This window comes from Homo sapiens, chromosome 2 (assembly GCF_000001405.40).
Source record: "Homo sapiens chromosome 2, GRCh38.p14 Primary Assembly".
In the NCBI taxonomy this organism is placed as follows: Eukaryota; Metazoa; Chordata; class Mammalia; order Primates; family Hominidae; genus Homo; species Homo sapiens.
The window spans coordinates 237,224,878-237,250,325 of record NC_000002.12 but is presented as its reverse complement, the minus strand read 5'-3'; the positions used below and the strand labels follow the sequence as shown (position 1 = coordinate 237,250,325).

The 25,448-nt window shown below is 43.4% G+C and overlaps 1 long non-coding RNA gene across 4 annotated transcripts in view; it reads right to left on the bottom strand.

Moving 5' to 3' along the window:
• Nucleotides 1–25,448, bottom strand: part of LOC105373953 (uncharacterized) — a 44,371-nt gene that overhangs the window by 7,351 nt on the left and 11,572 nt on the right. Inside the window, exons 3-4 of one of the 4 annotated variants that reach the window (XR_924035.3) lie at nt 24,066–24,188; nt 15,047–15,218 (exon numbers count right to left, since the gene is read on the bottom strand). This is a non-coding gene — a long non-coding RNA (uncharacterized LOC105373953). Of the gene's footprint in view, nt 1–15,046; nt 15,219–22,465; nt 23,494–24,065; nt 24,189–25,448 lie in introns of those variants that run through there. The other 3 variants (XR_001739959.2, XR_001739960.2, XR_924034.3) reach the window with 3 other exon arrangements.

Here is a 25,448-nt window from a genome sequence, read left to right as displayed (position 1 = left end):
GGGGGAATGGAGTCTCACTCTGTCACCCAGGCTGGAGTGCAGTAGTGCAATCTCAGCTCACTGCCACCTCTGCTGCCAGGGTTCAAGTGATTCTCCTGCCTCAGCCTCCCAAGTAGCTGGGATTACAGGCGCCTGCCACTGTAGCTGGTTAATTTTTGTAGTTTTAGTAGAGACGGAGTTTGACCATCTTGGCTAGGCCGGTCTTGAACTCCTGACGTCATGATCCACCTGCCTCAGCCTCCCAAAGTGCTGGGATTACAAGCGTGAGCCACCACACCCAGTCGAGATTATCTTTTGAATCTCTAGACAGTAAAGCAGATTGCCCTCCCTATTGTGGGCCTCATCCAATCAATGAATCCTAAGTAGAACAACAGGATGTGTGAGAAAAAGACTCCTTCTGCCTGACTGTTGAGCTGAGACATCAGTCTTCTCAGGTCTTTGGACTAGGATTGGAACTACACCACTGGCTCTCCTGGGTCTCCAGTTTACCTAATGCAGATCTTGGGACTCCTCAGCCTCCATAATCACATGACTCAGTTCCTTACAACAAATCTAATCTAATCTAATGTCTACATACCCATGCATCCTGGATAATACAGATATTTGTCCTGAGAGTGATTCTAGAGAAACAGAATTTTAAGGATGAGTTTTCTAAAGCTGTAAATAACTTTTTTTTTACAGTAGTAAAGAGAACATTGACTGTCCATGGTAAGATCTGGAAATATGGATACACAAAATATCACTATAGCATACTCCTAATCAACTACTTATATAAAGCAAGGATACTGATGACCAAGAATATGATACACTGGAAACTTTTTGGCAAACTAACAAAAATAATGAGATTAGCTGGTTGCTTCTAATGTCATTGGACAAGGTGGGAAAAGAAAGAGATCAGATCAGGTATTTGAATTCCCAGAAAAATGATCTAAAAGCTTCTGTGTGTGCCCTAAAGGAGACCCTTATCTCCTGTAGTTGCAGGGCCGATATTGCTGAAAATTAAACCTAGAACCTCATATTGTGGTGGGCTGAATTATTTAATACAATGCAAGTTGAACTCCCAGTCTTGTAGATGTCCACTGTTAAAGCAAAGGTATTGATTGGGAAGGAATAGGGCTCTGAAAGTTGGAATGGGGATGTGTAGGAGGACCCTGATAAGGCTGGAGACATTGACATTGAGCCTCTAAGTTCAGATGAGTTTTTTTTTTGCCCGTGAAGGAGACCCCCCCCACCTAGTGGGAGCAGCTTTTCCACTCCCATCTGAGAGGCTTAACACTGCTTTGCCTGAGGAAACTTTAATGACCTCCCCTGAGGCAATTGCCATACAAGACTGAGTCCCCTCAGGAACCACCCCCACCACCCCTCTTTGCTCCTAGACTTCTAACTAGACTCAAGTTCCAGCAAGCCCCTGAAGGTGGGAACAAAGTATGCACACTTTGTAGCATAGGCATGCTACATTAAAATCAAAACAAAACAAAACAACAACAACAACAAAACCCTTGAATTTTCTAATTTATACAGACAGAAATCCAAAAAAATATGTACAGGAAAGAATATTAGTAGGAAGAATCAATATTGTGAAAATGGCCATACTGCCCAAGGTAATTTATAGATTCAGTGCCATCCCCATCAAGCTACCAATGACTTTCTTCACAGAATTGGAAAAAACTACTTTAAAGTTCATATGGAACCAAAAAAGAGCCTGCATCACCAAGTCAATCCTAAGCCAAAAGAACAAAGCTGGAGGCATCACGCTACCTGACTTCAAACTATACTACAAGGCTACAGTAACCAAAACAGCATGGTACTGGTACCAAAACAGAGATATAGATCAATGGAACAGAACAGAGCCCTCAGAAATAACGCCACATATCTACAACTATCTGATCTTTGACAAACCTGAGAAAAACAAGAAATGGGGAAAGGATTCCCTATTTAATAAATGGTGCTGGGAAAACTGGCTAGCCATATGTAGAAAGCTGAAACTGGATTCCTTCCTTACACCTTATACAAAAATCAATTCAAGATGGATTAAAGACTTAAACATTAGACTTAAAACCATAAAAACCCTAGAAGAAAACCTAGGCATTACCATTCAGGACATAGGCATGGGCAAGGACTTCATGTCTAAAACACCAAAAGCAATGGCAACAAAAGACAAAATTGACAAATGGGATCTAATTAAACTAAAGAGCTTCTGCACAGCAAAAGAAACTACCATCAGAGTGAACAGGCAACCTACAAAATGGGAGAAAATTTTCGCAACCTACTCATCTGACAAAGGGCTAATATCTAGAATCTACAATGAACTCAAACAAATTTACAAGAAATAAACAAACAACCCCATCAAAAAGTGGGTGAAGGACATGAACAGACACTTCTCAAAAGAAGACATTTATGCAGCCAAAAAACACATGAAAAAATGCTCACCATCACTGGCTATCAGAGAAATGCAAATCAAAACCACAATGAGATACCATCTCACACCAGTTAGAATGGCAATCATTAAAAAGTCAGGAAACAACAGGTGCTGGAGAGGATGTGAGAAATAGGAACACTTTTACACTGTTGGTGGGACTGTAAACTAGTTCAACCATTGTGGAAGTCAGTGTGGCGATTCCTCAGCGATCTAGAACTAGAAATACCATTTGACCCAGCCATCCCATTACTGGGTATATACCCAAAGGACTATAAATCATGCTGCTATAAAGACACATGCACGCGTATGTTTTTTGCAGCACTATTCACAATAGCAAAGACTTGGAGCCAACCCAAATGTCCAACAATGATAGACTGGATTAAGAAAATGTGGCACATATACACCATGGAATACTATGCAGCCATAAAAAATGATGAGTTCATGTCCTTTGTAGGGACATGGATGAAATTGGAAATCATCACTCTCAGTAAACTATTGTAAGAACAAAAAAACAAACACTGTATATTCTCACTCATGGTTGGGAATTGAACAATGAGAACACATGGACACAGGAAGGGGAACATCACACTCTGGGGACTGTTGTGGGGTGGGGGGAGGGGGAGGGATAGCTTTAGGAGATATACCTAATGCTAAATGATGAATTAATGGGTGCAGCACACCAGCATGGCACATGTATACATATGTAACTAACCTGCACATTGTGCACATGTACCCTAAAACTTAAAGTATAATAATAATAAAAGAAAATTAAAAAAAAAGAGTGTGAGATAATGGTTGAAGGAACTTAAGGTTTGACCAGGCCTAATATATTGATATGGGCTCACTACACAGAGATTCTGCATTTAATGTTGGAGCTATGGGAGCTAGAGTTCTAATAGTTTGCTTTCAGCAGGCAAGGCTAGCAATATACCTTTACTGTTTTATCTCAGGGGTCTATCAACTCTTTAGCCCTATGTCATAGTTCACAGGGATCCTGATTGTCTTTCCCTTCCACAAGATGAGTCACACTGGTCCATTACATTGATGACATTATGCTGATTGGACCTAGTGAGAGAGAAGCACCAATGACTCTATGACATTTGTGTGTCAGAGGTTGGGAAATGCATCTGACAAAAGTTCAGGGGCCTTCTACCTCAGCGAAATTTCTAGGAGTTCAGTGGTGTGGAACATGTGACAATATCTCCTCTAAAGTGAAAGACAAGTTGTTGCATCTGGCCCCTCTTACAACCAAGAAAGAGACACAACACCTGGTAGGCCATTTTGGATTTTGGAGGTAATGTAGTCCTCATTTGGGTGGGTTACGGCAGCCCATTTACCAAGTCACTGAAAAAGGCCCAGAACAAGAGAAAGCTCTGCAAAAAGTCCAGGCTGCCATGCAAGTTGCTGTGCCATTTGGGCCTTATGATCCAGCAGATCCAATGCTGCTTGAAGTGTCAGTGGCAGATAGGGATGCTGTGTGGAGCCTTTGGCAACCTCTAGAGGTGAATCACAGCACAGGACCTTAGGATTTAGAGCAAAACCTTGCCATCCTCCATGGATAACTCTTCTCCTTTTGAGAAATAGTTCTTTCCCTGCTACTGGGCCTTTGTAGAGATTAAATGCTTAACCACCGGCCACCAAGTTACCCTAAGACCTGAGCTGCCCATCATGAATTGAGTGTTATCTGAGCCACCAAGCCATAAAATTGAATGTTCACAGAATCAGTCATCAAATGGAAGTGTTATACACAACACCAGACCTGAGAAGCCTCTGAAGGCATAAGTAAGTTGCATGAAGAAGTGGTCCAAATGCTCATAGTCCCTCTCTTATTTCACCATCTTCTGTTTCCTAGCCAACACCTATAGCCTCATGGGGAATTTTCTACACTCAGTTGATAGAGGAAGAGAAGACTACAGCCTGGTTTACAGACGGTTCTTCATCTGAAAGCCCCTTTCTGGAGAACTCTTAAAGAACAATGGTGAAGGGCAGTCCTCCCAGTGGGCAGAACTATGAGCACTGGACTGGTCTATCACTTTGCTTGGAAGGAGAAGTGGCCAGATGTGCAATTATATATCAATTAATGGGCTACAGCCAATTGTTTGGCTGTATGGTTAAGGACTTAGGAAGAAGATGATTGAAAAATTGAGGAAAAGAAAATTTGGGAACAGTGGTATGGATAGAACTCTCTGAATTGACAAGGAAGATATTTGTGTTTTATATGAACACTCACCATAGGGTAACCTCAGCAGGGGGGAATTTTAATAATCAAATGGGTATGATAACCCATTCTGTGGATGCCAGTCAGCCTCTTTCCCCAACCACTCTTGTCATCACCCAATGGGCTCATGAACAAACTGGCCATGGTGGCAGGGATGGAGGGGATGCATGGGCTTGGTGACATGGACTTCCGCTCACCAAGACTGACCTTGCTATGGCCACTGCTGAGTGCCCAACCTTCCAGCAGTAAGGACCAATACTGAGTTCCTTATATAGCACCATCCTTCAGGATGATCAGCAGCTACCTGGTGGCAGGTTGCTTACATTCCATCATGTAAGGGACAGAATTTTGCTCTTACTGGAATAGATAATTACTATGGATATGGATTTGTTTTTCCTGCACGCAGTGCTTCTGCCAAAACTACCATCTGTGTTCTTACACAATGCCTTACCCACAATGATGATATTCCACACAGCATTGCTTTTGATTAGGAAATTCACTTTACAGCAAATGAAGTGCAGAAATGGGACCATGCTTATGAAATTCACTGGTCTTACAATGTTCCCCCCCACCCTGAAGAAGCTGGCTTGATATAGTGATAGAATGGCATTTTGAAGACTCAATTACAACACCAGCTAGGCGGCAACATGTCATGGGGCTGGGGGAAGGTTCCTCAGAAGGCTTTATATGCTCTGAATTCATGGCCAATATATGGTGCTATTTCTTCCACAGCTGGAATTCATGGGTCCAAGAATCAAACAGTGGAAATGGGAGTGGTGGCACTCACTATTATCCCTCACAACTCACCAGCAAAATTTTTCCTTCTTGTTCTCATGACCTTATTCTTTGCTAGCCCAGAGATCTTAGCTCCAAAAGGAGTATGCTTCCACCAGGAGTCATAACAATGAATCCACCGAACTGGAAGTTAAGAGAGCTGCCCCACCACTTTGGGCTTCTGGTGTCTCTGAATCAGCAGGCAAAGAAGGGAGATACTGTGCTGGCTGGGGTAATTGATCTTGAATGCTAAGGGGAAATCAGACTCCTCTACTACAGAGGTTAAGGAAGAGCATGTCTGGAATACAGGAGATCTGTTAGGACATCTCATAGTATTACCATGCCCCAAGATTAGGATCAATGGAAAATGACAACAACCCAATCTAGGCAGGTCTACTAATGGCCCAGACCCTTCAGAAAAGAACGTTTATATTATCCCGCCAGGCAAAGAACCAAAACCAGCTGAGGTGCTTGCTGAAAGCAAAGGGAATACAGAACAGTTAGTAGAAGAAGGTGTTTACAAAAGCCAGCTGTGACTATATGACCAGTTACAGGAACAAAGACTGAAATTGTCATGAGTATTTCCTTATTTTATTATAAATATGTTTCTCTGTATGTGTATATAACAAATAGCTTGGTTTTCTTTTTCTTTCTTATTCTGTTATCATGTAACATAAATTGTATTGACTTTATATCATAGTATTTAAGCATTATTAATTATGCATCATATGAGATATCAAGGAGAAAAGTAAACATCACTCAAGGACTTAACCTCCTCTTCTGGGGAAGAGGTTAGTGTGATTTTAGTTGAATGCAGGATAATTGTACTATGTCAGGCAGAATTATGACCTTGTTATTGTCTTTATTTGGAGATTAAGTACGATTTAGGAAGATGTGTATGGGTGTCAAGTTGACAACAGTGGACCTGTGATGGTTCATTTTATGTGTCAACTTGACTGGATCACTGGGTGCCCAGACATTTGGACAAACGTTATTTTGTTGTATCTGTGAGGGTGTTTCCAGATGAGAATAAAATTTGAATTGATAGACTGAGTAATACATAATGCTTCCCTAATGTGTGTACTCCTTATCCTATCAAGTGAAGACTTGAATAAGAACAAAAAGGTACGGAAAGAGGTAACTCCTGCCTGACTTCTGGACTGGTATATCAAATTTGTCTTTTCAGCTCAAAATGAAACCTCAGCTTTTTTTGTTTTCAGATCTTGCCAGCTCTTGGACTGGAACTTACACCATCAATTCTCCTGTTTCTCTAGTTTGTCAACTGCAAATCTTGGCACTTAGCATCCACGATTGCATGAGCCAATTCATTATAATAAATATCTGTCTCTCTTGGTCTGTCTTTGTCTCTCTCTCTCTCTCTTTCTCATACATGTACATTTACACACACACACACATATCCATACATATCCATCCATCCTGTTTATTCTGTTTCTCTGGAGAACCCTGACTGATACAGCCATATAATTGGAATAATACAGTATGTATTACTTTCAGGCTGGCTTCTTTTAATTAGCAATATGCATTTAACTTTCCTCCATGTTTTTTCATGGCTTAACAGCTTGATTCTTTTTACCATTGAATAATATTTTATGTGTGCCTGCACAATGTTTGTTTATAGATGCACCATTTTGAGTAATCAGAATTCTTTGGGATGTTCTATGTAGGCCACCACATCATCTGTGAATAAACTAGAAAACTAAAGATGTTTTTATACCTTCCTTTTTGACCAGTTGCATTTTGTTTCTTTTACCTGTCATATTACACTGGCTAGAACCTCTAGAATGATGTTGATTCCAGAGGGGAAGACTTGATAGAAAATTATAGGATATAACTGTGGCCATGATGTAGGCTCTTTCCCATGTTATGACACCTCCTTTTCAATTAAAGACCTTCAGTTTTAGAACTGGTGAGAAGTGAGGACTTCCCATTAGATAACTCAGTCATATTTTTCTCACTGGCTGCAGAATTTTTCTAGTTACAGGTACCATCTATTTTATCCACAGGAAACACTTGATAACTTAGCCATGGCTGTTAATTCTCTGCTGTACAAAACATATCACCACCCTGATCCTACAGCCTATTAGGGTAATTATTATGGTAACTGCTGCCCTTGATCTTGAGGGTTTAGTGTTGCTATCTGGCCTCAGTCACACTGGGATTCTCTCATTCCTATGGAAATCAGGTCAGGGAGTCTATTAAGTCAATGGAAGGCTCACCTTTCATCCTCTCTTGCAGAGGATGCTGTGACAGAGGCTTCAAGGATGCTGATGCTCAATTCCTTGTTGAGTGTCTTTTGAGTCCAAAAGGAAATAGTCAATATGGGTGGCTTCTACATAACAACACCTACTTCTTTACCCCCATCTCTCTAAGCATTTGGATCCCTTCACACTAAGCTGCAGAAGTTCTGACATTCTGACCTCATTGAATGTAGGTCACCATTAAAACCAAGTTTCAGTCAATGAACAAAGCCAACTAGTAAAGCCATTCCAGCTGTGAAAGCTAGAACATTAAATTCTGAATCTTGTAAAAGTGTTCCCATATTGGCAAGTTCAGCTTGATCCAGTCATATTTCATCCTTGTTCTGATACCCTTTAAATCTTCATGTTCCTTGGGGTTCTGCCAATACAAATTATTGCAATGATTTTGGTGCCCAAGTCATTTTCTTCTACTGGAGGCCTTGTAATTGTCCCTGGGCTATGCTGGTTATGAGTCATAGGCCTGAAGGCAATGAGAGGTAATGAGGATGGGCCCTGAGGAGCGTGGGTGTTTCAACAACCTCCACAAGTGACATGATCACAGATTCTTTAAATAAGGGAAGGATAACCTTCTCAGACACGAGGAAAGGTCTCATTCTCGTGGGAAGGAAAACTCAAGGGCATTTGGGAGTTCAAGGTCCCATATTAATCTAAGTCTATCTAGCAGCCCCATTCCAAGTCTCCATGCCCAACTTCTTTCAAATATTAGTAAGTGCCTTTTCCTTAATACAGGAAACTTACCACTTCTGTGCTACCAGCTTGGTTGTAATTCTGCAACTGGATTAGATTTTACAACTAAATTTCAGCTCTGTCTGTCATATGGACACATAAGAATAAGTACTTCTCTTAAGTCTACCAGAGAATACTGACTCTCTGTACCTGCTTGAGCTGAGAGTTGAAAGCCCTGAGCATATCATTTTCTTCTTCAAAGATCTGTAGCTCAGTGAGAAGCACCATTCTATCTCCTCATTGAAGGCTGCAAGTACCTGGATAACCTAGAGCCTCTAGGTTTCTAGAATCGGAAATATGTCCTCTGGCATTTCAGGGAGTTAGTAATCCATGCCTTACACCCAACTACAGCAGGCATCAGGGCGACCACTTAAATGGAGAGGCAACCTCATTATCCCCTCAGAATATTGTCAAGGCAATGCTGATAGATTAGCTGGTAAATATTGGGGAAACCTGCCCCCAGTATTTCAACGTAGGTTGTTCTATTTTCCAAAAGTCTCAGCCAGCTGAGAAATAAAGAGAAAGAGTACAAAGAGAGGAATTTTACACCTGGGCCGCTGGGGGTGACATCACATATCAGTAGGACTGTGATGCCCACCTGAGCCTCAAACCAGCAAGTTTTTTATTAAGGATTTCAAAAGGGGAGGGGGTGTAAGAACAGGGAGTAGATCATAGGCTTCAAAGGACAAAAAGGAGAACTACTGATAAGGGTCTATGTTCAGTGGTGCACTTATTGTCTTGATAAACATCTTAAACAGAAAACAGGATTCAAGAGCAGAGAACCGGTCTGACCACAAATTTACCAGGGAGGAGTTTTTCCCCACCCTAATAAGCCTGAGGGTACTGCAGGAAACCAGGGCATATCTCAGTCCTTATCTCAACCGCATAAGACAGACACTCCCAAAGCAGCCATTTATAGACCTCCCCCCAGGAATGCATTCCTTTCCAAGGGTATTAATATTAATATTCCTTGCTAGGAAAAGAATTTAGTGATACCTTCCCTACTTGCACGTCCACTTATAGGCTCTCTGCAAGAAGAAAAATATGGCTCTTTTTGCCCGACCCCGCAGGCAGTCAGACCTTATGGTTGTCTTCCCTTGTTCCCTAAAAATCGCTGTTATTCTGTTCTTTTTCAAGGTGCACTGATGTCATATTGTTCAAACACACATGTTTTACAATCAATTTATACAGTTAACACAATTATCACAGTGGTCCTGAGGTGACGTACATCCTCAGGTTGCAAAGGTAACAGGATTAAGAGATTAAAGACAGCCATAAGAAATTATAAAAGTATTATTTGGGAACTGATAAATGTCCATATTAAAATGAAATCTTCACAATTTATGTTCCTCTGCCGCAGCTCCAGCCAGTCCCTCCATTTGGGGTCCCTGACTTCCCGCAACAGGTAAAGAAACAATGAAACATTTTAGGTTCAGATAGTTTATTGCTTACATAGACAGAAAAAAAAAAAAGCCAGAGTAGCAAAGACTAGCGACCTTTCTGGTCTCACAGGATGACACCAAAACATCAGAGAGTCATTGGCGCCCTGTTGCTGAGGGCCTTATTCCACACTGCAGCTAAGTGTTTTATAGGCTACGACTGTTCCCTAAAGGTGGGGGTTGGGAATGGAGTGGGGCAGGGGGTAGAGGCAGAGAGCCTCAAACTTCATCAGAACAAGGGAGGCAATGAGAGACAGTCTCATGAATCAGGAATGGTCTGGGAGCAGCTCCTCCCCAGCCTCCCATAGTAGTGCTCTAGTAGGATCACAGGATGCTCTACCAAGCCTCATGTCAACTCCGAAGGCTTGCCTTCATGGCCGATGTGGAGATGCCCAAGGTCACCAGGACCACACTGGAGCCATTGCCCTGTACATATTTGTCAATCCATTTCTGCTGAAAGCTTTTCTACTGATTGCCCTTTGGAACCAAATATGTCCATTCGTATAATTCTACAATCTTCTGCCTTCTAGCCCAGCAACAGGCTCCTTTATTGCTGCATCCAGGCCTATTTGAAGCAACCAAACCCAGGACACTGAGTGCATGGTGGAAGAATTGCTGGGCTCCTTTTGCTATGAGAAATACTTGTATGCTTTTCCAGTCAGGCTTCTTATATTATAGAAACTCATACTTAGTCGTCTAGGTGGCTGCTTTTAGAGCTAAGCTTGCCTGTTATGAGCAAGCTTTCTTGCTAAGAATGTAGAACCCCTCCTGAACTCTCTCATCCATCCTTGGCTACTGGCTTGGTAGGGGCCTTACCCGTGGGGATGTTTTGCTAAACTATGAGTTCCCATATAGCTACCCCATCTTTTAGGTAGGGAAGGTTCCTACACAGTTCCCCCATCTTTTCAGAGGATAGTGGCAAGGAGTGCTATAAATTATCTGTATGACATTACCAATTCACCCACAGCACACACTCAAGGCAGCTCATGGAAGTGAGTACTGAGCAGGAAAGTTATTACAGGCTATTGCCTTGACTTCTGCTATATTACTCAGAGTTCTGCTGCATGTGATGTTTCATCCTGGTCCTAGGCTCCTGGCTCTACACTTGAAAGCTGGTGCCCAATTCTTGAAGATTCCCTGTGTCTTTCCAGATCTCCTATTTCCTGCATAATTATTCTTGATCCATTCATTTTGAGGCCTTTCCTTCCAACAGTGAGTCTTAACCGACAGAGTCCCCAACCCCTGGGACCATCACACCTGTTGGGCATGGCTTTGTTCCAGCAGGCAAGGAAAAAGTTATATAAAAAGTAGCTCTGATGGAGAAGTAGTGGAAAGCAGGTGGGAAATTAAGCAGAATCCCTAATCCTGATGAAAATGTTTAGGCAGATGACCCCTTACTCTAGTTCACACCGGTCTTCTGCAGAACCAGCAGTTAACCAGCCCATCTTTTGAGGAGGGGAGTAGGATGGAGGTCCTCTTTTAGCATCAATTTTACCTTCAGTTATTTGACAGTCACTTTTTACACTTGATATCCTCATTACCTTGTTGGCCATTAATTTCTCAAACACTGAAAACTAGATTCACTCCACCAAAACTGTTCCTTTCAAGACTACTGAAGATCCACTGAGGCAAGTTCAATGGACTTCTCCATCTTCATCCTATCAGAACTTTTCACTATATTTGACTCTGTTGCTATTCCTTCCTCTGGGAACTTTTCTCAGACCTAAGTATCCAGCATATCATATTTTTTGTCATCTAATTCCTTTCTTCTTATGAACAATGCTAAGCAAGATGCAGGGTTGACCCACATACATAAAAAAGGGTGCTGGCGTGGGGAAGCCCAATCTATTATCTTGATGCTTGGAGTAAATAATGAAGTGTGGGAGCCATGATTCAGAGGAGGAGCTGAATGAAGGAGGAAAAATAGTTATCAAACTAGAGGTATACAGCTAGGAGGAGGTGGTAAGGCATGAGAAAATGTGAATGGGGATGGCTGGGTGTGGTCAGTGAGATGTGCTCTCTGGGTAGTTCCAGTGATATCATACCATGTGCCTCTAATTCTACATCCCCTGACCACTCCCCTTACACTGCTTTGGGCAGAAAGGGACGACCCAGTCCTTGCTATATCATTTTGTGTTTGGATGGAAGAGGTTTATGTTCATCTTCCTGGTCTTAGGGGTGTTGATATCTTTGTAAAAATCGAGGTTATTATAACCTCTGAGATTCTGGGCTGCTCTGGTCTCATACATCCTGCTCCCTATCTGAACTAAAGCCCTATAATCTGGGAAACTGGGGCACACAGAGCACGTCCTGGGCCACCGGCACAGGCAGCAGAGCCATTTTATGTACCAGGTGGGGTGTGGGTGACCTGAAAGGCCAGATGCTCAATTTCTAGAAGGATGTTTCCCTTCCTCCTAGAGTAGGAATTCCTCAGGCAATCCATCCTGCAGCTTCCTTCTGATAACTTCTGAGCACAGAAGGCAAGGTATTTCCTTCTAGCTTCTGCCTGAAGGAGCCAAGTCCATGGGTGTGATGGGCTGCCAACTTCTTCCCCTGCCCATCATCCACACTGCAGTTTTTTTTTGTTGTTGTTTTTGTTGTTTTTTGAGATGGAGTCTTGCTCTGTCACCCAGGCTGGAGTGCAGTGGTGCAATCTTGGCTCACTGCAAGCTCTGCCTCCTGGGTTCACGCCATCCTCCTGCCTCAGCCTCCTGAGTAGCTGGGACTACAGGCGCCCACCACCATGCCCGGCTAATTTTTTTGTGTTTTTAGTAGAGACGGGGTTTTACCATGTTAGCCAAGATGGTCTCGACCTCCTGACCTCGTGATCCGCCTGCCTCCATCTCCCAAAGTGCTGGGATTACAGGCATGAGCCACCATGCCCGGCCCACACTGCAGTTTTTAAGTGTTTGACAACCTCTGGGAAGAAGGCACAGGCAAACAAGCTACTAAGTCAGAAATCTTGTGGGGAGTCTAAGAACGAGGTTACTGGCTTGCAGGAAGGGGGTCCTGCCACATTACTTCTCTGCCAGCCTTGAAACCAAAAATGCTGCTCATCTGGGTTGCTCAAAGACCTATAACTTAGCATCTCCATGGAAAGCCATAAGAGTGGAGTTAGGTTTGTTCTTTTCCCTGCCAGGGCTATAGTGGTGGCAACTGGGGAAAATTGTTTCCTGATATTTGGAGGAATAGATGCTGGTGTCGGGGCAGTGGAAGACCTGCCTAGGCTTCCAAAGGACTCAGCACCATGGTGGGCCACACCCTGCAAGGTTCACAGCTTGATCCTCATGCAATAAGAGTTCAGCTTCGGAACTCTGGTTGATATTTTTAGACAATGCAAAAAGCTTGTTTCTCTTCAAACTTTGAAATACTAATTTCAGCATTCATCAGTGGATCTTGCCTGCAACACATCCTATCATGTTGTTCTAATGGTGATTATATATTTCCTTCAATCCTTATACATTTACCAGCTGGAATTCTTTAAGAGTGGTCCCCAATTAATTAACTAATTTATTTATTAAATTATTTATATCAGCATAGACCCATGGATATAATTATTGCTATTACTCTTAATATTTGCTCAAATATTCGTCCATTGGGGGTTCTTTCAGGTTGGCGTCTGTGCCCAATGGACCTGTCCCTGTCCCTTTTTGATCCGTTTCTTATATCTGTCATCTTATCAGCTCTAGGCTCATCAACCAGTCCTGAAATCAACCACTTTCCCGGGATTATTTTGTTGGAGAACAGTATTTAGAACTCAAGATCTGGGTGCTAGATATGCTCATTGGCCCTGTGGTGCCACTGCTTTTAGTCTCTTCCCATTCAGTTCAAAGTTAGGGAATGTATGTTTGTGCACACATTCATGCATAAACACACATCTATATTTATTTTGCCTATCTATCTTCATCAGCACCATTGTCCCTCTATACTTATCTATCCATTAAAAATCCATGAGTTCATACTGATGCCTCCAATTCCAATAGAATAGCCGAAAGATGATTCTAGCTGTCACCTCTTTGTATTCGTAACTAATTTCTCTGACAGTAAGACATGTGGCTCCCTTTTTCTGTACTTTATTTACATATTTGTTCCCTACTCATAGTATGGTTTCAGAGTAGTGACTCATTCTCTTGTGAAAAACAAATGTACTAACTAGAGTACTCTATTTGTGTGTAGATTTTGTTCTTAGTCTTAATAAATTTTTTTGGCATTATCTAGGTTAGTTCTTTTCTTCCTCATCCCTTCCAGTGTGGTTATACTATTTATTTATAATAAAGTTAGGTACATTTACTTTTTCTCTGTGTATATTCCATTTTTGGGTCCCTGAACATTGTAGCTGATTTTAGAAAAATGTATATACATTAAAATTCACTTTGTGGTGTCCATTTTTATAGGTTTTGACAAACGCATGGAGTCATGTATTCACCACGCTAGCCCTTTATCCCAGGGCTATATTAACTCTCCTGCTTTCTGTGACAAAAAAGTAAGCAGGGGCTTTGATCATCTTGGCAACCCATAGTATGATACACTAGTCCCTTATATGAGTCATAATGTTAATTCCAGTTGGTGGGCAGAAAATGACAAGTACTCTGGATGCCTTCGTAAGACACATTTGTACCAGATAGTGGAAGATAAAACCTACAAAGAGTCAGGAGTCTCTCACATTGATGACATTTTAAGGGGGTCACTAGTCTAGGACATGCTGTGATCTCTTCCCAATAAAAAATTATTGTATCTCACACCCCCTACCACCATCAAAGAGGCAAAAAGCTATGTTGTTCTCTTTGGAATTGAAAGCCATTTACACTGTGCTGAACACTGCCTTGACCTATGTACTGAGGGATCTGCAAGGCTGCCAGTTTGGAGTAAAGCCCAGAACTAGAGTCGGCTCTGCAGCATGTTCACAGGTCAGGCTGCCCTACACTTCAGGCTATCTGACGCTGCAGATCCAAAGCTTGTGGTGGAAAAGAATGTGGAGTTGTGGTTGTTACAAGCCCAATAGGTGAGTTGCAGTGTCGACCACTGGAGTCCTGGAACAAAGCTGTGCCTTCTGTGGCTCACAGGTATTCCCCATTTGAAGAGAAGTTCCTGGCATGCTACTGGGCCTTAGTAGGGCCAGAGCATCTGGTCTTGGGGTATTAAGTGACTGTGGACAAACCATCCATTATGAAGTGGGAAGTGTCAGACTCACCAAGTCATCAGATTCAGTGAATGCTGTAGCAATCCATTGGATGATGGTAGGGGTACGTATGGGAGCAGGTCCAGAAGGCACCAAAATGCAAGAAGAAGTGGTCCAGATGCTTCTCAGTTCACTTTCATCCACCTCCCTGTGCCGGGACCTAATTTCATCAGGTCCTAATCACCTGATGCATAAAAAAAATAACTCAGACTTGCTTCTAAGATGGGTTGACTAGAAATGCTGGGGGAGCCAAGAATGGACTGTTTTCACACAGTGGCCATAATCAGGGTGCCCCTAAAGAATAACGGTTGAAGGGAATCATCCCAGTGGGTGAACTGCAGTAGACTTGGTCTGTCACTTGTCCTCTGACAACTGCCATTCTAGAGTTTACTGAATGCCTGTTTACTGACATGCAATTCTACAAACCATGGCTTTGGACCAGAAGACCTATTTTACGAATCTGCTGGTCTTACCATATATCACATCGCCAGGGAACATCTGGCATACCAGAATTATGCACCTATTAAAGGACCAAGTCTTCTACTTATTTAGGGGTGTTGTACCCCGGAATGCAACATATGGAGTAAGCTCACAGCTGATGCACGGGTTCCCCATTTGCTACAATATTTAGGCTTGTGCAACAAGGAGTTGAAGTAGAATTGCCTCTGGTCCTGTAGCTTCCATTAATCCACTGTGGAATTTGTGCTTCTCATTCTTATAACATCAGACCCTGCTGAAGCACAGGCCCCAATTTCCTGGGATAGAACTTCCTCCAGGGACATGGTGTTCACTGATTCAGAGCCTACGAGTACAGCTTGTTCATTTCGGTCTTGCTATGCCTGCAGATTCACAGTCAAGTAAGGAGGGGTAACTGAGTCTGTCATCAGGATCTAGAGGTGTTCCTGGGGTGGAGCCTACAGAATTCCCTGGAACATCTCTTAGTGATTCTAAAACAGTAACAGGCAATTGCAGCAATCATGGCCTGAAAAAAGAAAGACAGCCAAACACTGAGACCCATCAAGGGGGAAGGTTTAGGTCATCTAAGCTTTAGGTCTAGGCAAGCAACCTAGACCAGCTGAAATGTTAGCTGAAATAGAGGGGAGGATCTGGAAAGGATGGTGAAGGAATGAGGTGAAGAGTAACAACAGAGGCCTCTGGGTCCATTGCAGCAGTGGGGACTGTGCCTTCTTCCACTGACCCAGTGTGTTGAGTCTTTGGAAGACTTTGGTTCAACTACCACCTTGAATATTTTGTCTTGGTGGAACTGGATGTAATGTGAGGCAGGAGTGGATCTGAGGAGTTCAAAGGGTCCATGTATCATATACCTCCAGACCCCCTCCCTGCACCTTCCTGGCTTCCCTTAGATTGTAGTTCTGATGATGGGAAGCTCTGTGGGTGCTTCCAGTCACATTTGCTGACATCTCCGGCCTCAGGCATGAGCTTGCCTCCTTCACTCTCTGCCCCGGAGCCTCTCTGTTGCTATGGACCTGGCAGGTCCCCACTTGACAAACATATAGGGGCATCTAGAAGTGTGGGGTGGTAATGCCCCTGGGGGCACCCAATGTAGTATGGGGGCTCATAGTAAGTGTGTTCCCTTTGGGTCCTCAGGAGGCCAATTCTGGAGGCATTCTGCAGGCTCCTCCTAGGTCCAGGTGGGACTGAGCCCCTGTTGCCCACAACAACTTTATAGTGCACTTTTCATAATGGACTGTTGGCCCATTATGGGCTTTTCCTCCTTCCTTTACTCTCCCTGATCCCTTACTTCTATTCTCTGGGATTACATTTTAAATAAAATACCTGCACACAAGTCCTTGGCTAAAACTCTGCTTTCATGGCAGTGGGGTGGAGAGAAACCCAGGCTCAGACAACCTCTTTTCCAAGGTAGGTTAATAAGCCACCCATGTAATGTTGCCAGAAAGGACAGTAGCAATGTTGCAGCCAAGGTTGCACTGGAGATGGATTAATAGGACCAGGCATTGGGAATGCTTTCTCGAGTTTCTTGCTCACTTCTATTCAATGCATCCTCTGGTGAACATATTAGTCCCGCAACTAGTATCAATCAAGTGACTCCTGGCACACTAGACTCAATCTCTCTCTTGATCTCCAGCATGCACCCCCCGCCTACCTGACATATGCATTTAGACATGTTCATGGCCAAAACCTAATGTGTTGCCTTACACACTTGTCTCCATTGCTGTTGGTGTTGCCACACTTAGCCTCATGATGTGGAGAGATCCTTGATTTCTTCTTCTTCTTCCTGACAACTAATAATCAATTCCAGCTCTTAAAGGTCTCTACAACCCCTCCGCATCTTTAATTCCACTTGTGCTTGTCCCAGTCCAGACCTGCCCCATCTTTCTTTTTTTCTTTTTTTTTTGAGATGGAATCTCACTCTGTTGCCCAGGTTGGAGTGCAGTGGCACGATCTCAGCTCACTGAAACCTCCGCCTCCCGGGTTCAAGTGTTTCTCCTGCCTCAGCCTCCTGAGTAACTGGGATTACAGGTGCACACCATCATGCCTGGATACTTTTTGTATTTTTAGTAGAGACGGGGTTTCACCATGTTGATCAGGCTGGTCTCAAACTCCTGACCTCATGATCCTCCCTCCTTGGCCCATCTTTCTTAGTGCGTAACAGTTATTTCAGCAATGTGCCTGCCTGGGGCATCCTCTCTTTCCTTCTCTTGTCAAACTCACTCTCCATTATTACCCAAATTATTGTTCTAAAACATTTCAATCATTCATTCACTCAACAAATATGTGTTGGTTTTCCATCTCCTCCAACAGCAGCAAAAAGAGACAAAATCTAAACTCCTTGGCTTAGTTTTCTAGAAGGTTCCAAAGCTGACTCATGTCTGTTCCTTTGGCACTTGTTTTCAACCTTCCTTGCTGTGACTCCCTTGAGCCATGTGGTGACAACTAGGCCTTTTCTGTTTTTCAAGTGCCAGTATTTGGGTCAGTAACCCCAAGTGAGAGAGAAGGAAGATGTTTTCTGACCCAGTGCTATTCTTAGACATAGAATGAAAGGCTTCAGTGGCATTGAAACTTGGTAGACACTTGGAAAAAAAAACTTTGACTTGGATGAAGAGTTGGGACTGAGCCTTGCAACTTAAAATAAAAGCATCTGGAGAGGGAGAGGGGAGCGAGGTGTCCTCCAGCTCTCGGGGACAGTTTGTAATGGTGTTACCCTGTGGCCGGCAGAAAGCATCTGGGCTGTCACAAGACTCCAAGCCCACAACCCTCTGGCAAGGGAGGCATTCTGGAAGACTCACATCATGGTCCTTCCTCCATCTGTTGACTTCTTTAGGATTTGAAGCCTGGAGCACTCGGCGGTCTGTCTCATCATCTTGTTCCGACATTGCCATTGTGTTTGCTGTCCTGGAGTCAGGACTCTGGCCGCCTTCCTGGCTGCGCCCCTCACTTGGCTGGAGTGTCAGTCATTTGCTCATCCGTGCTGCTCTGGTGTCTGACTCCACATCTGCTCCCTGCTCTTGCTCCCAGTTTTCCCAGCGTATGTGTTGATAGCCCAGATAGACCCACCCTGTAACAGGGCCAGCAATGGCAGCCTTGGCAACCCATAGTATGATACATTAGTCCCTTATATGAGTCATAACGTTAATTCCAATTGGTGGGCAGAAAATGACAAGTACTTTGGATGCCTTCATAAGACACATTCGTACCAGATAGTGGAAGATAAAACCTACAAAGAGTCAGGAGTCTGTCACATTGATGACATTTTAAGGGGGTTACTAGTCTAGGGCATGCTGTAATCTCTTCCCAGTAAAAAATTGTTGTATCTCACACCCCCTACCACCATCAAAGAGGCAAAAGCTGTGTTTTTCTCTTTGGAATTTGAAAGCCATTTATACTGTGCTGAACACTGCCTTGATCTATGTACTGAGTGGTGGCACTACGGACAAGAGAAGTGTCTTCCCAGCTGAGACAGCCTGAGCAGGGGAAGAGCTGTGAAGGGCCAGGGGTATGGAGTGGGGGTTGGGGCACCCAGAGGAAGATGACAACATGAACCTGAGTGAAGGGCAGAGAAGGGTCAAGGCTGTAGAAGACCCAAGAGCAGGTCACATGGCCAAGGTCAGAGCTGAACGCTCCATGGGTCTTGGCCAGGACAGCTTGTGACACCTGACTGCTAAATGACCTGAGTGTTACCCATGAGACTGCAACATTGTGGGGGCAGACAGCAATGGACTGGGGACAAAAAGGTGGGGTTTTATTGTGATCATGTTAGCAATAAGTCCAGTAACTTCCCTCCCCCAAACACTAGGGCATCCGATAGTGGACAGCTGGTATTTGGTCACCTAAGAACCTTTGGGGTTTCATTTTGGGGCATCACTTCTTCCACATAGGACCTGATTCATCTCTGAGTGGACCCCCAGGTGACTCTACTGATTATCTCTTACTAGCTAAGCCATTGGAACTTCCCTGATTACCCCTCTAAGCCTGATTTTTCAGCTATCTTCCAATTCTGTGAGCCACCTCTATTTTTCCAATAAACTCCTTTTAGGGTTGAGGTAGTCAGAGTCTATTTCTGTTGCTTGTAACCAAATAATCCAAAATGATGAGGACTCCTCTGCCTCTGATCCTCTGGAATCACAATCATCAGGGTGGCATGAGTTTGGAAGGGAGACGGGACAGAAAGGCTCTTTGCCTGGAAGATGCTCCTGGAGATAGCGGCTGATGAGGCTGAGCTCCACCTTCCCTGTGTCCCATCCCGCACTACACCTGGCTGTCACCTGTCTCTAGTTAGGCTCATGCTTCCATGCCTTTTAGGGAGACTGCTGTATCTCCAGAGTGATGGTTTTAGGTGTTCTTGGGCCATTTGATTCCTTGGTGGTACCTCTGGGGTTATTTGGGGAGAGGGGCTGGGGACTGATTAGGCCACCATGCCTCTCTGCCACTTAATCAAAATTGTTCCTCCTCTATCTGTTTTATATATTTTCTTTATAAAATTTTATTTGAAAAATTATATTTTCTCACTAAAAGTTTAAAAGCCACTACTTTAAAGAATTCTTGAGAGTTTTCCCAGATGGAAACTCACAGGATGTCTAGTTCTACTTTGTCACCATCACTGGCTCTCCAGGGCTGACAACCCTCCATTGGCATCTTCTGTGGGCATGGATATTATTTTCTGAAAAATGGGATCCAAGATCTCAATTATACTGGCCATGTACCACCATATGTTCAAGCATGACTCAACTAATGGATAAAGTTAATAAAGTTTAAGTGTTTGCAAAGTTACTGCCAAGGGAGTCAATGAAAAGGAATCACTTCTGGAAGGACATGCAGAGCAAGCTTGGGGAAGTCCAGCACCTGAAGCTGCTGGGTGGTGCGTGTTGCCCAGAACAACTCACGTGAGCCCAGGGTGCCCAAACTCCCACCAATGACAGCAACACAGTGGGCTGCCCTAGCCTCTGCGGTTGCAGCAGCAGAGGCACAAAAATGGCAGTGATTCTGGAGAGGCCAAGATAGGGTGGCAGACAGAGGAAATGAGAAGGCTTTTCAGGCATGTTGAGGCTGCAGGGATTGAGAACCTGAATGATAACCAGAGGAAGTGGGGAGTGGAGAAGTTGATTTTGGAATTGCCAGTGCAAGGCAAGATGAGAACAGGTGAGCCATGTAGGACCAACAAATGCAAAAAATGAGAAAGAAGATTAAACCATAGTCTAAAGAAAGGATGGCTTTGGGATAGTGATTTAAGCAAGGTTCCGGATTAGTGATCTGTAAACACTACAAATAATAGATGTCTTTTTTTTTTCACTTATCTTTTTATACCAGGCACTACATCTGACACCTTACAGCCGTGATCTTATTCCATTCTTGAAAAAATAACGACTGCCACACACACAAAGTACAGGTGACATTAACTCTATCTACAGATTTATTTAAAAAAAAATACAGGCCGGGTGGCGTGGCTCACGCCAGTAATCCCAGCACTTTGGGAGGCCAAGGTGGGCAGATCACGAGGCCAGGAGATTGAGACCATCCTAGCCTACATGGTGCAACCCTGTCTCTACTAAAAAATACAAAAAAAAATTAGCCGGGTGTGGTGGCGGGCACCTGTAGTCCCAGCTACTCGGGAGGCTGAGGCAGGAGAATGGCGTGAACCCGGGAGGCGGAGCTTGCAGTGAGCCGAGATCACACCATTGCACTCCAGCCTGGGCAACAGAGCGAGACTCCGTCTCAAAAAACAACAACAAAAAATACAACCTGGCAACATTCAGTGACTTGCCGAAGGTCACCTTGCTAGTAAGTGGCAAAATCTGATTAGATGCTGATCTTGCTGATTCAAAGGCTCTTACATTTTTACCTTCATGATGAAAATGAAAATTTTAACATTATATAGTGTATTAAAAATTGTTTTAAGTGCTTTTAAAATGTATTAAAAATCCTTCTCACCTAAAGAAAATTACAAATAGCAAGTGAAGTTTCTGCACAAATTATACAAATGATATGTAAAACTTCCGACAAATTGTATTCATCTCATATATTAACTTCCAAAAAATTGAAAAATCCCTATTTTAGCAGCTCTCAAATCATTTACCTTCTCTTCCTCTTACCTGCCACCACTGTATTTGGTACCATCTTCATCTTTGGCTTAGATCACTTGAATGGCCCTCTAATTAGCCTTCCTGCATGATCCTGACCCCTAATACTCCTCGCATCCATAGACAAAGTCATCTTTGAGGAATACTCTACTCAGAGCCCTCCAGAGGTTTCCTGTGGCTCACCGGATAAGTGCTCAAGGTTCTTCACAGTTGGGTTCTTGTTCACTCCGCCAAAGTCTTTTTCCTCATACTCCTCTCCAATCTCTCTGTTCTCTCCGCTTAGCCATTAGCCCACTAGGGCTGGGCTACTTTGAATTCTTAAAAACACCCACCTTCACTTGCCTCCAGCCCTTGGAATCTGCTGTCTCACTTCCCACCATACTCCCTCCTTTTCTCCTGCCTCTTCCCAGGAGTGGTCCTATTCATCCTTCAGGTCTCAGTGGAGAAGCCCCTTTTTAGTTCCCTAGATTAGGATATTACAATCTGAAAGCACTCTGTGCTTCTCCTTCACAGCATTTATACTTGTAATGATTTATTTGATTATTTTCCCAGTTGTCTCCAAGCCTACCATGATGCTTTGCACACAGGAGGACTTAATAAATCTTTGGAAGGAATGCATACTAGCTGGTTACAACACTGTATTGATCTGTCTTAGCCTAAGTTCTTTCGAAAAGAAAACCTGAGAGAAACACTGTTGATCAAAGCTTTCATTGGGAATTATGATCCCAAGAGCAAAGCTAAGGAACAGGGAAAGCATTTCAGCAAAGAAGAGTGAGTCAATGCAAGCTACACTGGCCGCTGAGATGGGAGATTGTGTGTTTAACACCACGATGTCTTCCGAGAAACCACAGAAAATGTGACTCAGAGTCAGTGCTGTGGCGTGGGGTAGGAAACGTTTATTTATTGGTTCCTTTCTCCCATTGTTTAAAGAGCTTTCAAGTGGAGCATTAACTATCCTGCACAACTGAGTCATGTATATGTGGGCACCAAGGGGTTCCTGTGGCATCCCATGCCCTGGCATTATCAGAAGTCACAGGCTGGTAGCCAAGAGACGTGTGAGCAGATCTGAACAAGGCACTGTCAGGGTGCACTCAGATGAAGACTGCACTTGGATGAAGCTGATTAGCCCCACACAAAGCTGCCATCACTTGGTTTCTGGAATTGGAGATGGGTGTGTAAGTGGTGTCTGAGCGTCCACCATCTAGATCACTCATATCATCTGATGCCCTATATTATATCTGGTTCCAGTTCTAAAAATGTTATCTCATTGATTATGAGAACAATATGCCCTCACTCCTCCTTGGAGAGGGGGAGAACTAGTGCAATCTGAGACATAGTGCACTCAAATATGCTGGCCATACCCAATCTCTGTTGACTTAACCCAAGAGGGTTACTGGTATAATGTATGGTGACTGAAACTGCAGATGAGTAAGACCGAACTGATATTCATATCTCCTTTTTCTTTTCCTCAATTTACATTTTCCTACCTTTCAAACACACTTTGCTGGGTCTGGGTTGCTTGCCTGGTTGAGGGACTTAAACTTGTAACCCTGAGGGGTCTGAGCCCTTGTCAAGCAATAGTGGCTGCAATAATCCTTCCACAGTGATTTCTAGGGAATCCTGGAAGCATCAAGGTACACGCAAGTATAGTGCCCAGGTTCCAGACACATCCACCCCTGCCTCCATTGCATGGAATGGTGTTTCTCTAAGTATGGTCTACAGACTTCTGGGGGTTTTCCCGAACAGCCTTTCATGGTTCTGCAAGGTCAAAATTATTTTCACAATAACATTAAGAAAATATTCCATGCAAAAGAATTTCAAATAATTTATGTAGATAGTTCATCCTCCAGGAGGCGGGGCATAACTCTCCACTCATTAAATGTAGGCTGCACATGGTGACTTCTTTTCAAAGGGTGCAGCATGGAAAAGAGAGAAGGTAAGTTTGCACTGTAGAAACCTGACAAACACATTGATCACCTGGCAAACCTGTCAGTTGATCAAAGTCAACATCAACAATAACAAGTCAGGTTGAGGCTGGGCGCAGTGGCTCAGGCCTATAATCCCAGCACTTTGGGAGGCCGAGCAGGTGGATCACCTGAGGTCAGGAGTTTGTGGCCAGCCTAGTCAACATGGTGAAACCCCGTCTCTAATAAACATACAAAAATTAGCCGGGTGTGGTGGTGCACACCTATAATCCCGGCTACTCGGGAGGCTGCGACAGGAGCATCGCGTGAACCCAGGAGGTGAAGGTTGCAGTGAGCCAAGATCGTGCCACTGCACTCCAGCTAGGGCAACAAGAGCAAAACACCATGTCAAAAAAAAAAAAGAAGTTAGGTTGATAGTATCTACCCTTAATATGATGCAGTTAGAATGGTGCTTCTCTTCTGTGGTGTTTCTTCCCCAAAACCCACAAACCCAGTCTAATTCAGAGAAAACATCAACAAGCCCCGATGAAAGAACATTCTACAAGATACCTGACCACTGTTCCTCAACATTGTCAAGGTCACCAAAATCAAGGAAGGTCTGAGAAATGGACAGTCAAGATGAGCCTAAGGAAACATGACAAGGAAGTATCATGTGATATCCTTGACGGGATCCTGAAACAGAAAAAGGACATTGGGTGAAACTCAGCAAATCTGAATAAAGCATGGATTTCAGCTAATGCTAATGGTTGTGACCAAAGTACCATACTAATAAAAGATATTAATCATCAGGGAAATAGAGTGTGGGGTTCATGAAAACTCTGTATGACCTTTGCAATGTTTCTGTAAATCGAGGCTGCAGTTAATACCACTGTAGTGCACACTTGAAATTTGTTAAGAAAAGGGTGGGCGGTGGCGAGTGATAAAAGACCACACATTGGTTACAGTGTACATTGCTTGGGTGATGGGTGCACCAAAATCTCAGAAATCACCACTAAAGAACTTATCCATGTAACCAAACACCACCTGTTCTCCAAAAACCTATTGAAATAAAAAAATTAAAAAGTGATTTAAAAAGTGGATCTTAAATGTACTCAGCAAGCACGCACAAATGGTAGCTACGTGAGGTGATGTGTGTGTCAATTAGCTTGATTGTATCACAAAGTGTACACATATCAAATCATCACATTATACATCTACTTATATAATTTTTGTCAATTATACATTAAAAAATAACAAATATTCCAGAATAAAAAACTTATTTAAAAACTCCACTAAGACATTTTTGCCTTCTCTACTGTGTTGACATTTTCCCTAAGGGTGCAAAAACCATGGTTCCAGCACCTTGGCAGGAACCCAGGCAGTGACATCAAATTCTACCAGGACACCTGAGCTCTCCATTGCCACAGCAGTATTTCATAAATAAATTTTATTTATAAAATCAATAAAATTATTGATTTTATTAAATTTTAACTTTTGAGGACCTGTCCTTTGAATATTCTGAGTGCCAAGATGGGGAGAACACATATGAGACCTCCGTACACCAACTACAAGGGTTATCCCAAAGAAGAGCTCTCATGCATTGTTTGTGTTGTGAGCTGAGCTAGTCTCTTTTTTCATAGAACACCAATTTTCTTTTTTTTTTTTTTTTTAGATGGAGTCTCCCTCTGTCGCCCAGGCTGGAGTGCATTGTGCATTGGTGCGATCTTGACTCACTGCAACTTCCGCCTCCCAGGTTCAAGTGATTCTCCTGCTTCAGCCTCCCGAGTAGCTGGGATTACAGGCGTGTGCCACCATGCCTGGCTACCTTTTGTGTTTTTAGTAGAGATAGGTTTTTGCTGTGTTGGCCAGGCTGGTCTTGAACTCCTGACCTCAAATGATCGCCCGTCTCTGCCTCCCAAAGTGCTGGGATTACATGCGTAAGCCACTGTGCCA